The following is a 12,379-nucleotide window of genomic DNA, read 5'->3' as shown; positions in this document are numbered from 1 at the left end:
ACTTACCACACAAAAGGCCTCCTGGGAGGTGTGTGTGTGTGTGTGTGTGTGTGTGTGCATGCACACAGACTGGGAAAGAGCCTGACTATGATATCTGAGTCAATGAATTACTGAGCAGAAGAAGCAGGCTGGACACGGCGGAATCCCAGCACTTTGGGAGGCCGAGGCAAACAGATCACTTTTGTGAGCTCAGGAGTTCGAGACCAGCCACAGCAACATGGCGAAACCCCGTCTCTACAAAATACACAAAAATCAGCCAGGCATTGGTGGCTCCCACCTGTAATCCCAGCTGCTGGGGAAGCTGAGGCGGGAGGATCATTTGAGCCAGGTTGCAGGGAACCGAGATCACGCCACCGCCCTCCAGCCTGGGAGACAGAACAAGACTCTGTCTTAAAAAAAAAAAAAAAAAAAAAGAAGAGGAAGAACAAGGAGAAGGAAGAAGGAGAAGAAGGAAGAAGAAGAAGGAGAAGGAGAAGAAAGAGAAAGAGGGGGATGGGGAGGGGAAGGAGGAAGGGGAGGAGAAGAAGAAAGAAGAAAGAAGATGAAAAGACACTGAAATAATCCATAAACTGAGGAAACAAAAGTTTGGAGCCAGAGTTGAGTTTGAGAATGTAAACTACTTAGGAATTTCTAGAAATCAGCCACAAGCCTTGAAGCGGGGGGCAATGGGGTATTGATTTCACTTTATCTAGACCTCAAGGGACAGGGAGACCTCAGATCAAACCTGGATTAAAACATCAATGAGTTTTTGCCTCTGAAAGAATCTATATTTGGGAGCAAATGACACATTTAACTCCTCGCCCCATCTGGCCTTAACTGCTGCCCATCCTTTCGCCAGTTTAAAATGTTGGGTCTAAAGAGATGAGAAAAACGGAGAAGGAAAATGGGGGAAAGTTGGACCGAGAGACTCTTCTCCCTTATCACCAGACAAGATAAACTTTACCAAAATGTCTCTTCCTACCTATCTTTTTATTTTATTTACTTATTTATTTATTTTTGAGATGGAGTCTCGCTGTGTCGCCCAGGCTGGAGTGCAGTGGCACGATCTCGGCTCACTGCAAGCTCTGCCTCCTGGGTTCACGCCATTCTCCTGCCTCAGCCTCCCAAGTAGCTGGGACTACAGGCACCTGCCACCATGCCTGGCCAGTTTTTTGTATTTTTATTAGAGATGGGGTTTCACCGTGTTAGCCAGGATGGTCTCGATCTCCTGACCTCGTGATCCGCCCACCTTGGCCTCCCAAAGTTCTGGGATTACAGGCATGAGCCACCGCGCCCAGCCTCTTCCCACCTATCTTTTAAGATAACATAGTAATTTAGTGAATTGGAGTCTTTTAGGCCAGGCATGGCCTGGCTGTGGGAGGCCAAGACAGGCAAATCACTTGAGCCAAGGAGTTCGAGGCCAGCCTGGGCAACATGGCAAAAACCCATCTCTACAAAAAATAACAAATTAGCCAGGTGCGGTGGCATGTGCCTTTGGTCCCAGGTACTCAGGAGGCTGAGGCAGGAGGATCCCCTGAGCCCAGGAGGTCAAATCTTCAATGAGCCATAATCATGCCACTGGACTCCAGCCAGAGAGAGACCTTGTCTCAAACAAAAAAAATTATTTTGGGGAAAGGTACTCTATAAATAAATAGCGTATCCCTTCGCAATTATAATTGCAAATGGTTTTCTTGATTTTTATTTGACCTACTCGAACAGATTTTACCATTTTGAAATATCTTCTGAGCATGAATTGCTTTACTATTTGCAACTCCCTACCTAGAGAATAGCCTGTGAGAACAATTCTATAAAAAAAATTTGATGATGACTCATGAGTGTCCTGCTAGGAGAAAAAAATATCTGATATCAAATGTCCTATTTGTCACATGCGTCCGTGTGAAGAGAGTCCACCAACAGGCTTTGTGTGAGCAACGAGGCTGTTTACTTCACCTGGATGCAGGCAGGCTGAGTCCAAAAAGAGAGTCAGCAAAGGGTGGTGGGATTATCATTAGTTCTTACAGGTTTTGGGATAGGCAGTGGAGTTAAGAGCAATGGTTTGCGGGTGGGGGTGGATCTCACAAAGTACATTCTCAAGGGTGGGGAGAATTACAAAGAACCTTCTTAAGGGTGGGGGAGATTACAAAGTACATTGATTAGTTAGAGTGGGGCAGAAACAAATCACAATGGTGGAATGTCATCAGTTAAGGCTATTTGCACTTCTTTTGTGGATCTTCAGTTGCTTCAGGCCATCTGGATGTATACGTGCAGGTCACAGGTTATATGATGGCTTAGTTTGGGCTCAGAGGCCTGACACTATTCTTTAGGTTTGTGTAATCTTAGAACACTGAAGAAGGAACGAAGGAGTTGCCAGGTCAGACACAAATTATTAGACTATATGTATAAAACAAGTTCTCTTTTTCACAGAACACAGTAGGCTGAAGCATGATTAATACAAGTGTGAACACCTCCAGGCTCCATTACTACCAGTGGCTCCTGTTTTCATTGGAACACCCTCTGATTCTTCCCATAAACAAAGCTTTCACTTTCTGGCCAAATTTGGTCAACTCATGAATCAACACACACTAATACATTTACTCCACTTCCACAGGCAATTTGAATGGGAAAAAGAGGAACCTTCACTGGCTTTTAAGTAGACATTATTATATTCAAAGTAACCTTGTTGATTATTAGCTGATCTAAAAGTAGAGCATGTCTTACAGGTCTATAGTTATACAGAAAACTCCATTCCCTACATGCATATTATCCCACTTTAAAGTGGAGGAACAGCCTATTACATGTACAGCCACGTGCCAAATAACAACATTCTGGTCAACGGCACATAAGTAATCCCATCAGATTATAATGGAGCTGAAAAATTCCTATCACCTAGTGACATCATAGCCATCATAGCCATCACAGCCAGTGATGTAGCATAAGGCATTACTCACCTGCTTGTGGTGATGGTGTAAACAAACCTACTGCACTGCCAATTGTATAAAAGTATAACACATACTATTATGCACAGTACTTCATACTTGCTAGTGATAATAAATGACTGTTACTGGTTTACATATTTCAGATCCTTTAGGTGGTATGCTGAAAGAAGGCATTGTTGTCATAGGAGAGGACAGCTCCATGCGTGTTATTGCCCCTGAAAACCTTCCAGTAGGACAAGATGTGGAGGTGGAAGACAGTGACATTGATGATCCTGACCCAGTGTAGTCCTAGGCTAATGTGTGTGCTTGTGTTTTAGTTTTTAACAAAAAAGCCTAAAAAGTAAAAATTAAAATAAAAAATTTTAAAAATAGGTAAAGGTGTATTATAGATTAAAGATGTAAAGAAAGAAAATATTTTGTATAGCTGTACAATGTGTGTTTTAAGCTAAGTTTTATTACAAATGAGTCAAAAAGTTTTTCAAAATTTAAAAGTTTATAAGGCAAAAAAGTTATAGTAGGTAAAAAGTTGCCTAACAGTACACTTCTCAGAATGTATCCCAATAGTTTATTATTGAAGAAAGACAAATATATTTTTAATAAATTGAGTGTAGCCTAGGTGTACAGTGTTGATGAAGTCTACAGTAGTGTGCAGTAATGTCCTAGGCCTTCACATTCACTCACCACTCACTCACTGACTAACCCAGAGCAACTTCCAGTCCTGCAGGCTCCATTCATGGTATGTGCCCTATGTAAGAGAATCATTTGAAAAAACTTTTATATCATATTTTTACTGTACCTTTTCTATGTTTAGATATATTTAGATACATAAATTCTAACCATTGTGCTACAATTGCCTACAGTTTTCAGTACAGTAACATGTTGTGCAGGTGTGTAGCTATACTAACTAGCCTAGGTGTGTAAGGCTATACCATCTAGGTTTATGTAAGTACACTCTATGATGTTCACACAGTGACAAAACTGCCTAATGGTGCATTTTTCAGAATGTAACCCTATGGTTAAGAGACACATGACTGCATTACATATTTGCATATATGTGAACCTTAAAAAGAACGGAAAGTCACATAATAAAGTGTTTGTGGTTACTATTTCTGAATACAGGAATTATTAGTGCCAACGACGCCCCAAAGATGTTTGTGTCCTAATCCCTAGAATCTGTGAATTTGTTACTTCACATGGCAAAGAAGAATTAAGATTACACATGCTAATCAGCAAACTGATAATCCTAGATTATCCTGGATCATTCATGTTGGCCCAATGTAATCGCAAGTGTCCTTAAAAGTGAAAGAGGGAGGCAGAAGAAAGTCAGAGGAAGATGTGACTAATGATCAAAGAGACACAAAGTTGCTGGCTTTGAAGATGAATGAAGGGGCCGCAAGCTAAAGAATGTGGGTAGGCTGGGCACGGTGGCTCACGCCTGTAATCCCAACACTTTGGGAGGGCAAGGTGGGCAGATTGCTTGAGCCTAGGAGTTAGAGTCCAGTCTGGGCAACATGGCAAAACCCCGTCTCTACCAAAAAAAAAAAAAAATTAGCCAGGAGTGGTGACAGACACCTGTGGTTCCAGCTACCCAGGAGGCTGAGGCAGAAGGATCACCTGAGCCCAGGAAGTTGAGGCTGTAATGACGTAATCGCACTCCAGCCTGGGCAACAGAACAAGACCCTGTCTCAAAAAAAAAAAAAAAAAAAAAAAAAGAGCGGAGGCAGCTCCCATGAGCTGGAAAAGGCAAAGAAACACATGCTCCAGTAGAGTCTCCAGAATGAACACAGCCCCACTGATGCCTTGATTTTAGCCCAGTAAGACCTAGGTCAGACTTCTGACCTCCAGAACTGTAAGATGAATTTATGTTTGTTTTAAGCCATTAAATCTGTGATAATTTGCGGCAGCAGCAGTAGGAAATGACTGCAATAGCTGATTCTGGTTGTTGTTTTTCTGGGGAACTTAAAAGCAAGATAGTTGGATATGTTCCAAATTTTACATAATGTATATGCGTTATCTTTATAACTGGGGAAATCTCATGCTTATTTTTGAACATAATACTAAAATGGTAGTGAGGGCCGCGGTAGAAAGTATTGAGCTTTTAGGCTCACATTTGACAATACCACAGTTGCTCCTTGATGTCTAACTCCATTTATTGAGAAATTGGACTTATTATAATCAATAACTCACAAACAATTAAGACCCAATTTAACAGAAAGTTATTGAGGACCTGCAGAGTACCAGGCACCATCTGGATCTGTCCACTGACGTGAATCTTTTCCATGGAATTCCTTAGTTGGCAGAGGATGGAATTCCCTAGTGGGACAGTGTGCAGCCATTTCCTAGCATACCTTCCCTGTGCAAGCTTGCTCTGCCATGCTGGGTGGCTGTGGTGTCGTTCTGGCAGTAGGGGCTGCTGCTGGTCCAGATTGAAGAGGCGGAGCAGAAGGGTTGAGGGGGGTGATGTCGGACAGAGTGGAAGTGGAGTTAATACTGTGGGGATTGGTGGAAGAGGTGGTGGTGCTGATAGGAGAGGGGTCTGGGTGAGCAGAGGTGATGAACTGTTTCACAATTAGTCACAATTAGGACACTGCAGTGCTACAAAGATGTCCTTGTTGTTGCAACACGTTGATTTCCTTATCCTCCTTTGGTTATCTCTGACCAGTTCAGGTGGACCAGAGAGAAGGTGGTGGTGATGTGTCTGAATGCGGAGATTGAATAACCACCTTTTTCTTTTCTTCATTTCCTCCCAGCTCCGCAGCCTGTTACACAAAGCTCTTGGTGCTTTGTCTAGCATAGCTTTCAGACTCCTGTTTTCTCTCTCCAGGCACTGTTTGCTAGCACCCCATCAACTCTTCATTCCCCACCTTACTCCCGAGACTCAAACTGTCAACTCTGTCTCTACCTTGTTTCCTCAGCCTGGAACACCCTTCTCCTCACTTAAAATTCTTTTATCCTTCAGAGCTCAAATCAAATGCTAACTCCTTCTTACAACAATAAGTGAAGCCATCTGCCAGGACTTTCGTATATATTATATTATCTAATCCATTCCATTTTGAGTCTTAAGCTTTCTCATCTTCCTGTTGTGTGTGCGTTTGAACCTGGAATCTGTATGGTACTTGGTGCTGCTATATAAAACCTCCCATCAGTCAGAACCCACCACACGTCACTCTTGCCTCTTTGTTATCACTTATTTCATCCTGCTTCACAATTAGTTACTGTTTTTTGTGTTTGCTTCTTCCTTCTGCCTCTGCTGTCAGCTTTTTGAGGACTGGTACCTTGTCTTAGCCTCTGTGAGATGCATCTCTGTGGCATGTAGGATGTCGTGCTTTATAACATGCAGGTAGGCAGGCCAATATGTACACATAAAATATACACATATATTAAGTTACAGATCAAGGATTTCTTCTCCAGCTTCTTCTCCCACACAGGAATTTTTATAGAGTCCCAAAGTTTCGAAAAGGTTAGAATTTTCCACCCTACCACTTCCTCTTAATGTGGAAAGTTCATGGGCGTGTCACAGACTGGAGTTAGGAAGTGTTGCTAAAACTGTCACTTGCTACTGCTATTTTTTTTTTTTAAGACTTTAGCTGGCAGGACCTGTTGCTTAATGAAGTGGAGTAATGAACCTTGTAGAAATGGCTCTAGGATTTCAAGATGGGGTGGATAATGTCACTGGAAAGGAAGTATGAGACAATAATTAACTCCAACACACAAGAGACCACCCCTTCCCTTCCCAGCTGAAGTCACCTTTGACTTATAAACATGTTTTTGGGTAGAGGTGGGAGGTGGGGAGACAGGCTATGGAAGACTGGTTTGACATGTTGGTTCTAATGTTCTGACCAATTAGGCAAGGGTAGTTGAAGCCAGATTTGAGACTCTTTGCAGGAGGTTATTGAAGAGTTTCTAACCCATTAAAAGAAGCATGGATATAAATAAAAACTACATAAATTTCACAGAAATGTTTGGAAGAGCAAGTGGGTTTGAATAAATCTTTTTTTTTTTTTTTTTGAGACGGAGTCTCGCTCTGTCACCCAGGCTGGAATGCAGTGGCACACTCTTGGCTCACTGCAGCCTCTGCCTCCCGGGTTCAAGCGATTCTCCTGCCTCAGCCTCCTGAGTAGCTGGGATTACAGGCGTGTGCCACCACACCTGGCTAATTTTTGTACTTTTAGTAGAAACGGGGTTTCTCTATGTTGGTCAGGCTGGTCTCGAACTCCTGACCTCGTGATCTGCCCACCTCGTCCACCTAAAGTGCTGGGATTACAGGCGTGAGCCACTGCTCCTGATCTTTTTTTTTTTTTTTTTTTTTTTTTCTTACAGATGGAGTCTTGCTCTGTCGCCCAGGCTGGAGTGCAGTGGCACGATCTCAGCTCACTGCACTCTGCCTCCCTCGTTCAAGCAATTCTCCTGCCTCAGCTTCAGCTTCAAGCACTTCTCCTGCCTCAGCTTGTAGCTGGGACTACAGGCGTGCGCCACCACACCCAGCTAATTTTTGTATTTTTTAGTAAAGACGGGATTTCACTATACGTTGGCCAAGCTTGTCTTGAACTCCTGACCTCAGGTGATCCACCTGCCTGGGCCTCCTAAAGTGCTGTGATTACAAGCGTGAGCCACCGCACACGGCCCTGTATAATTCTTAAAGGAAATAAATGTTTGATGCCCTTCAGCAATGGCATCTCTTCAAAATACACTGTTAGTTTGCCCCTAAGTGAGACAAGACTAGTGTGTGCTTACAAAATAATCCTAATGTGAGAAATACAAAGATATACCTCTCTTGCCAAAATCTACATATTTCCAAACTTCAGGATTATTTTTATGTCTCTATGCTTTGAAAGAATACTGTGTGTATGCATATGTGTAAATATTCTTTCGTTTATTTCACTATATCATGTGTTTTACAAAATGACATAAACATTTAATAAAGAAAAACAAGAGAGTATATTTCCCCAAAATAAAGCTTTCCTCATACCTTTTTTGTTTTTTTTCTAAAACAAGTGTTTCCAGAAACAAAGACTTCTTTTTGTGGAATGTGTTTTTCCGTTTACAAATGAGATGAAGGGATGAATTAAAAGAGCCATAACTCTTTGGCACTGCCTAGAGTAGAAAGCAGTAGAACACTTCAGTTGTTTTTCCTCCCCTCTCTCCTAATGACCTTCTCTTCTCCATCCAGGGAGTGAATGATAGTCCACTTCCCCAACACACCTCCTCCTATTCTCTGGGAATAAGAAGAGGCTGGGCCAGGCGCAGTGGCTCATGCCTGTAATGCCAGCACTTTGGGAGGCTGAGGTGGGCGGATCACTTGAGGTCAGGAGTTTGAGACCAGCCTGGCCAACATGGTGAAACCCCTTCTCTACTAAAAATACAAAAATTAGCTGGGTGTGGTGGCACATGCCACCAGCTACTCGGGAGGCTGAGGCAGGAGAATCGCTTGAACCCTGGAGGTTGCAGTGAGTTGAGATCGTGCCACTGCCCTCAGCCTGGGCAACAAAGTGAGGCTCTGTCAAAAACAAAAAAAAAGGAAGAGACTGACAAAAGTCTGGGTTACATATTCTGGAACGAAATACAATCTTCAACTATCAAAGTAGAAAGGAAAAGCAATAATTTATAAATTCCATCATTTTTCTTACCCAGACATTCTCTCTGAAACATACATCTGGTTACAAAAAATGTTAGCCAAAGGGCATATTTTAGGATATTTAAGAATTTCTAAAGGGGGAAGAGTCTTGGATTCTACTCACCCTTTCCAATGGCCAATGTTGTCACTGAAGTTTAGCAATAGTGTTACCGTTTCAAAGATAAATGGTGATTTCCAAGACTATTAGTGACCCAGGATCTTTCTAGTTCTCTTTTCAGAGAAAATACAGTGGGGGAAAAAAAAGCAGGGAAAGGGAGTGGAACAGGAGTAGGAAATTTTGCAGACATATTCTTCAGGTTAATGTTTATTGACATAACCAGGCTTCAAGTCACAGTTAACAACTATCAAAGTCCTAATTATATTACACAGAACAAATCTAACCTCCTCTAGCAGTGGTTCTCAGTTTAGTGCATCCAAATTACCATAAAGGCTTGCTGAAACAGATTGCTGGCCCCACCCACAAAACGTCAGATTCAGTAGACAAATTGGGGTGTGGGGGAAAGTATTTGCTTTTTTTTTTTTTTTTTTTTTGAGACGGTGTCTGGCTCTGTCACCCAGGCTGGAGTGCAGTGGCATGATCTGGGCTCACTGCAACCTTCACCTCCCAGATTCAAGCCATTCTCCTGCCTCAGCCTCCCGACTAGTTGGGATTACAGGCACATGCCACCATGCCCAACTAATTTTTGTATTTTTAGTAGAGATGGGATTTCACCATGTTGGCCAGGCTGGTCTTGAACTCCTGGCTTCAGGTAATCCGCCCGCCTCAGCCTCCCAAAATGGTGGGATTACAGGCGTGAGCTACAGCACCAGGCCAAGTATTTGCATTTCTAAGAAGTTCCCAGGTGATAACGATGCTGTTAGCCTATAATCCCCACTTTGAGGGCTGCTGTCCTACAGCAGTTATTCTCAATTCTGATTCTGCATCAGAAGACTCTTCTTGTGAGGTTTTTAATAAAATCTTAATACCTCGGCACCACCCCAGACCCACCAAGACAGAATCTCTGGGGTTGGTCTTGCCAAAGATAAAAAAAAAAAGCTGGTCACTAGTTAAATTGGATAGTTAGCAGAGAGTTAAAAGGTGGGTAAAGTCTATGCATTGTAACTACTGCAGTAGGAAAGAGGGGGCAGTGTGAAGCTTCACTGGGACACAAGGCAGATTTTTTTTTTTTTTTTGAGACGGAGTCGCTCTGTCACCCAGGCTGGAGTGCAATGGTACGATCTCAGTTCACGGCAACCTCCGCCTCCCAGGTTCAAGCAATTGTCCTGCCTCAGCCTCCCCAGTAGCTGGGACTATAGGCGTGCACCACCATGCCTGGCTAATTTTTTGTATTTTTAGTAGAGACGGGGTTTCGTCATTTTAACCAGGATGGTCTCGATCTCCTGACCTCGTGATCCACCCACCTCGGCCTCCCAGGGGTGCTGGGATTACAGGTGTGAGGCACTGCGTCCGGCCAGGCAGGAGACTTTTTAAAGGCTGGTGGTGCCGAAGGCAAAGTGCTGAAGGGTGCGAAGGGGGCACTGGTGCATGTGACCAAGCCATCTGGTGGTTTGTTAATTGGCACTACCTGGAGGAGAAACAAATCTCTGGTAGCTTCATGATAGAAGAGGCAGTGGCGTAAGTTAGAATACAGCATCTACCAAGGTTAGGCCCTTCCCCACCACAGGGAGAAGATCAAGAGTGAGGCTGGGCACAGTGGCTCACACCTGTAATCCCAAAACTCTGGGAGGCCGAGGTGGGCGGACCATCCTCGCCAACATGGTGAAACTCCATCTCTGCTAAAAATACAAAAATTAGCTAGGCGTGGTGGCGCGTGCCTGTAGTCCCAGCTACTCGGGAGGCTAAGGCAGGAGAATCACTTGAACCCAGGAGGCAGAGGTTGCAGTGAGCCGAGATCGCACCACTGCACTCCAGCCTGGCGACAGAGTGAGACTCCATCTCAAAAAAATAAAAAATAAATAAATAAAAATAAGAGTAAGAATTATCTCCTTAAAGGTTTGCATTTCAAAGAGATGGCTCTCAGGCCCTTGAGAAGACAGTTCTGGGTGGTAGATTTACATTTCAAAGGGTCAGAGAAAGGATTTATAATTGCAGGCTTTCTAAAGTAACTGCTCTAAGAGGGGGGACCTATATGCTTGTCACCATGTTTTGGCTGGAACAGTTAGTAATTCTCCTTGCAGCATGGAGCTTTCTCTTAGGCAGGAACTTAAGGGGGCTGGAGTTGTCATGCTAAGGATGTGGACTTGAGCTGTTAGAAACTATGCTACTGTCTGTTCCAGTCTCTTAGTATATGTGTGGTGGGGGTGGGGGGTGAATAGGGAGTGGACAAAATCATTCGTACACAGAGTCAGCAGTTTCTACAGGCCAAGCTTGTGGTTCAGTTAAGAAGAGGGTTCAGAGGAACCTGGCAAGAGTTTAGGTAAGGAGAGAGTTTTTGTCCATCTGGTTACCTGTGTGTTGAAACAAGTCTATGGATGATTCTAGTAGTAACTGCCCAATGGGTTCACCTTGCCCATTGCCTAGAGAGAGCTGATTTATCAAGACAAGGAAATTGCAATAGAGAAAGTAATTCATGTAGAGCTGGCTGTGCGGGAGACCAGAGGTTTATTGTTACTCAAATCAGTCTCCCCAGGCATTTGGGGAGCAGAGTTTTCAAAAACAACTTAGTGGGTCGGGGGAAGCCAGTGAGCCAGGAGTGCTGATAGGTCAGGGATGAAATCATAGGAAGTCAAAGCTGTCTTCTTGTGCTGAGTGGGGGCCGCAAGATCAGATGAGCCACTTAAGCGATCCAGGTGGTGCCAGCTAATCCATCAAGTGCAGGGTCTGCAAATATCTCAAGCACTGATTTTAGAAGCAGTTTAGGGAGGGTCAGAATCTTATAGCCTCCAGCTTCATGACTCCTAAACCATAATTTCTAATCTTGTGGCTAATTTCTTTTTTTTTTTTTTTTTTTTTTTTGAGATGGAGTCTCGCTCTGTTGCCAGGCTGAAGTGCAGTGGCACGATCTTGGCTCACTTCAAGCGATTCTCCTGCCTCAGGCTCCCAAGTAGCTGAGACTACAGGCGCGTGCCAACACACCAGCTAATTTTTGTATTTTTAGTAGAGACGGGGTTTCACCACATTGGCCAGGATGGTCTCGATCTCTTGACCTCGTGATCCGCCTGCCTCAGCCTCCCAAAGTGCTGGGATTACAGGCATGAGCCACGGCGCCCGGCTTACTTGTAGCTAATTTCTTAGCCCTACAAAGGCAGCCTAGTCCCCAGGCAAGGAGGTTTGTTTTGGGAAAGGGCTGTTATTGTCTTTGTTTTTGTTTGTTTGTTTGTTTTTGAGATAGAGTCTCACCCTGTCGCCCAGGCTGGAGTGCAGTGGTGAGATCTCGGCTCACTGCAACCTCCACCTCCTGGGTTCGAGTGATTCTCGTGCCTCAGCCTCCTGAGTAGCTGGGATTACAGGGAGGCACCATCATGCCCAGCTAATTTTTGTATTTTTAGTAAACACAGGGTTTTGCCATGTTGGCCAGGCTGGTCTCAAACTCCTGACCTCAAGTGAGGTACCTGCCTCAGCCTCCCAAAGTGCTGGGATTGTAGGTGTGAGCCACTGTGCCCAGCCATCTTTGTTTTAAACTATAAACTATAAACTAAGTTATTCCCAAAGTTAGTTCAGCCATTACGTCCAGTAATGAACAAGGACAGGTTGGAGGTTAGAAGCAAAATAGAGTTGGTTAGGATAGATCTCTTTCACTGTCTCAGTCATAATTTTGCAAAGGCGGTTTCATAGTGATCAGGGTTGAAAACTAATTCCTATACAGTACTAGTACAGGGGTAAAGTTTG

General features: G+C 43.8%; 1 long non-coding RNA gene across 2 annotated transcripts in view, besides 3 other annotated features; it reads right to left on the bottom strand.

Annotated features, from left to right (window-relative positions):
* ARFGEF1-DT (ARFGEF1 divergent transcript) overlaps nucleotides 1-12,379 on the bottom strand; it is a 148,035-nt gene that overhangs the window by 111,567 nt on the left and 24,089 nt on the right. The window contains exon 3 of one of the 2 annotated variants that reach the window (NR_136223.1): nucleotides 5,071-6,587. The exons of the other annotated variant lie outside the window; for it this stretch is intronic. This is a non-coding gene — a long non-coding RNA (ARFGEF1 divergent transcript). Of the gene's footprint in view, nucleotides 1-5,070; nucleotides 6,588-12,379 lie in introns of those variants that run through there. 2 annotated transcript variants of the gene reach the window in all.
* Nucleotides 10,201-10,906: an enhancer, noted in NCBI's record as "OCT4-NANOG-H3K27ac-H3K4me1 hESC enhancer chr8:68281631-68282336 (GRCh37/hg19 assembly coordinates)". NCBI's record gives its function as "activates a minimal SCP1, AML or CMV promoter by ChIP-STARR-seq in naive and primed H9 embryonic stem cells {active_cell/tissue: H9 hESC(naive and primed)}" and the evidence as "EXISTENCE:reporter gene assay evidence [ECO:0000049][PMID:30033119]".
* Nucleotides 10,907-11,612: an enhancer, noted in NCBI's record as "OCT4-NANOG-H3K27ac-H3K4me1 hESC enhancer chr8:68280925-68281630 (GRCh37/hg19 assembly coordinates)". NCBI's record gives its function as "activates a minimal SCP1, AML or CMV promoter by ChIP-STARR-seq in primed H9 embryonic stem cells {active_cell/tissue: H9 hESC(primed)}" and the evidence as "EXISTENCE:reporter gene assay evidence [ECO:0000049][PMID:30033119]".
* Nucleotides 11,114-11,408: a silencer, noted in NCBI's record as "tiled region #8634; K562 Repressive non-DNase unmatched - State 7:EnhWF". NCBI's record gives its function as "represses a minimal TATA promoter and a strong SV40 promoter by Sharpr-MPRA in K562 cells {active_cell/tissue: K562}" and the evidence as "EXISTENCE:reporter gene assay evidence [ECO:0000049][PMID:27701403]".

The sequence above is a fragment of the Homo sapiens genome, chromosome 8 (assembly GCF_000001405.40).
Source record: "Homo sapiens chromosome 8, GRCh38.p14 Primary Assembly".
In the NCBI taxonomy this organism is placed as follows: domain Eukaryota; kingdom Metazoa; phylum Chordata; class Mammalia; order Primates; family Hominidae; genus Homo; species Homo sapiens.
This window is presented reverse-complemented; position numbering and strand designations above follow the sequence as displayed.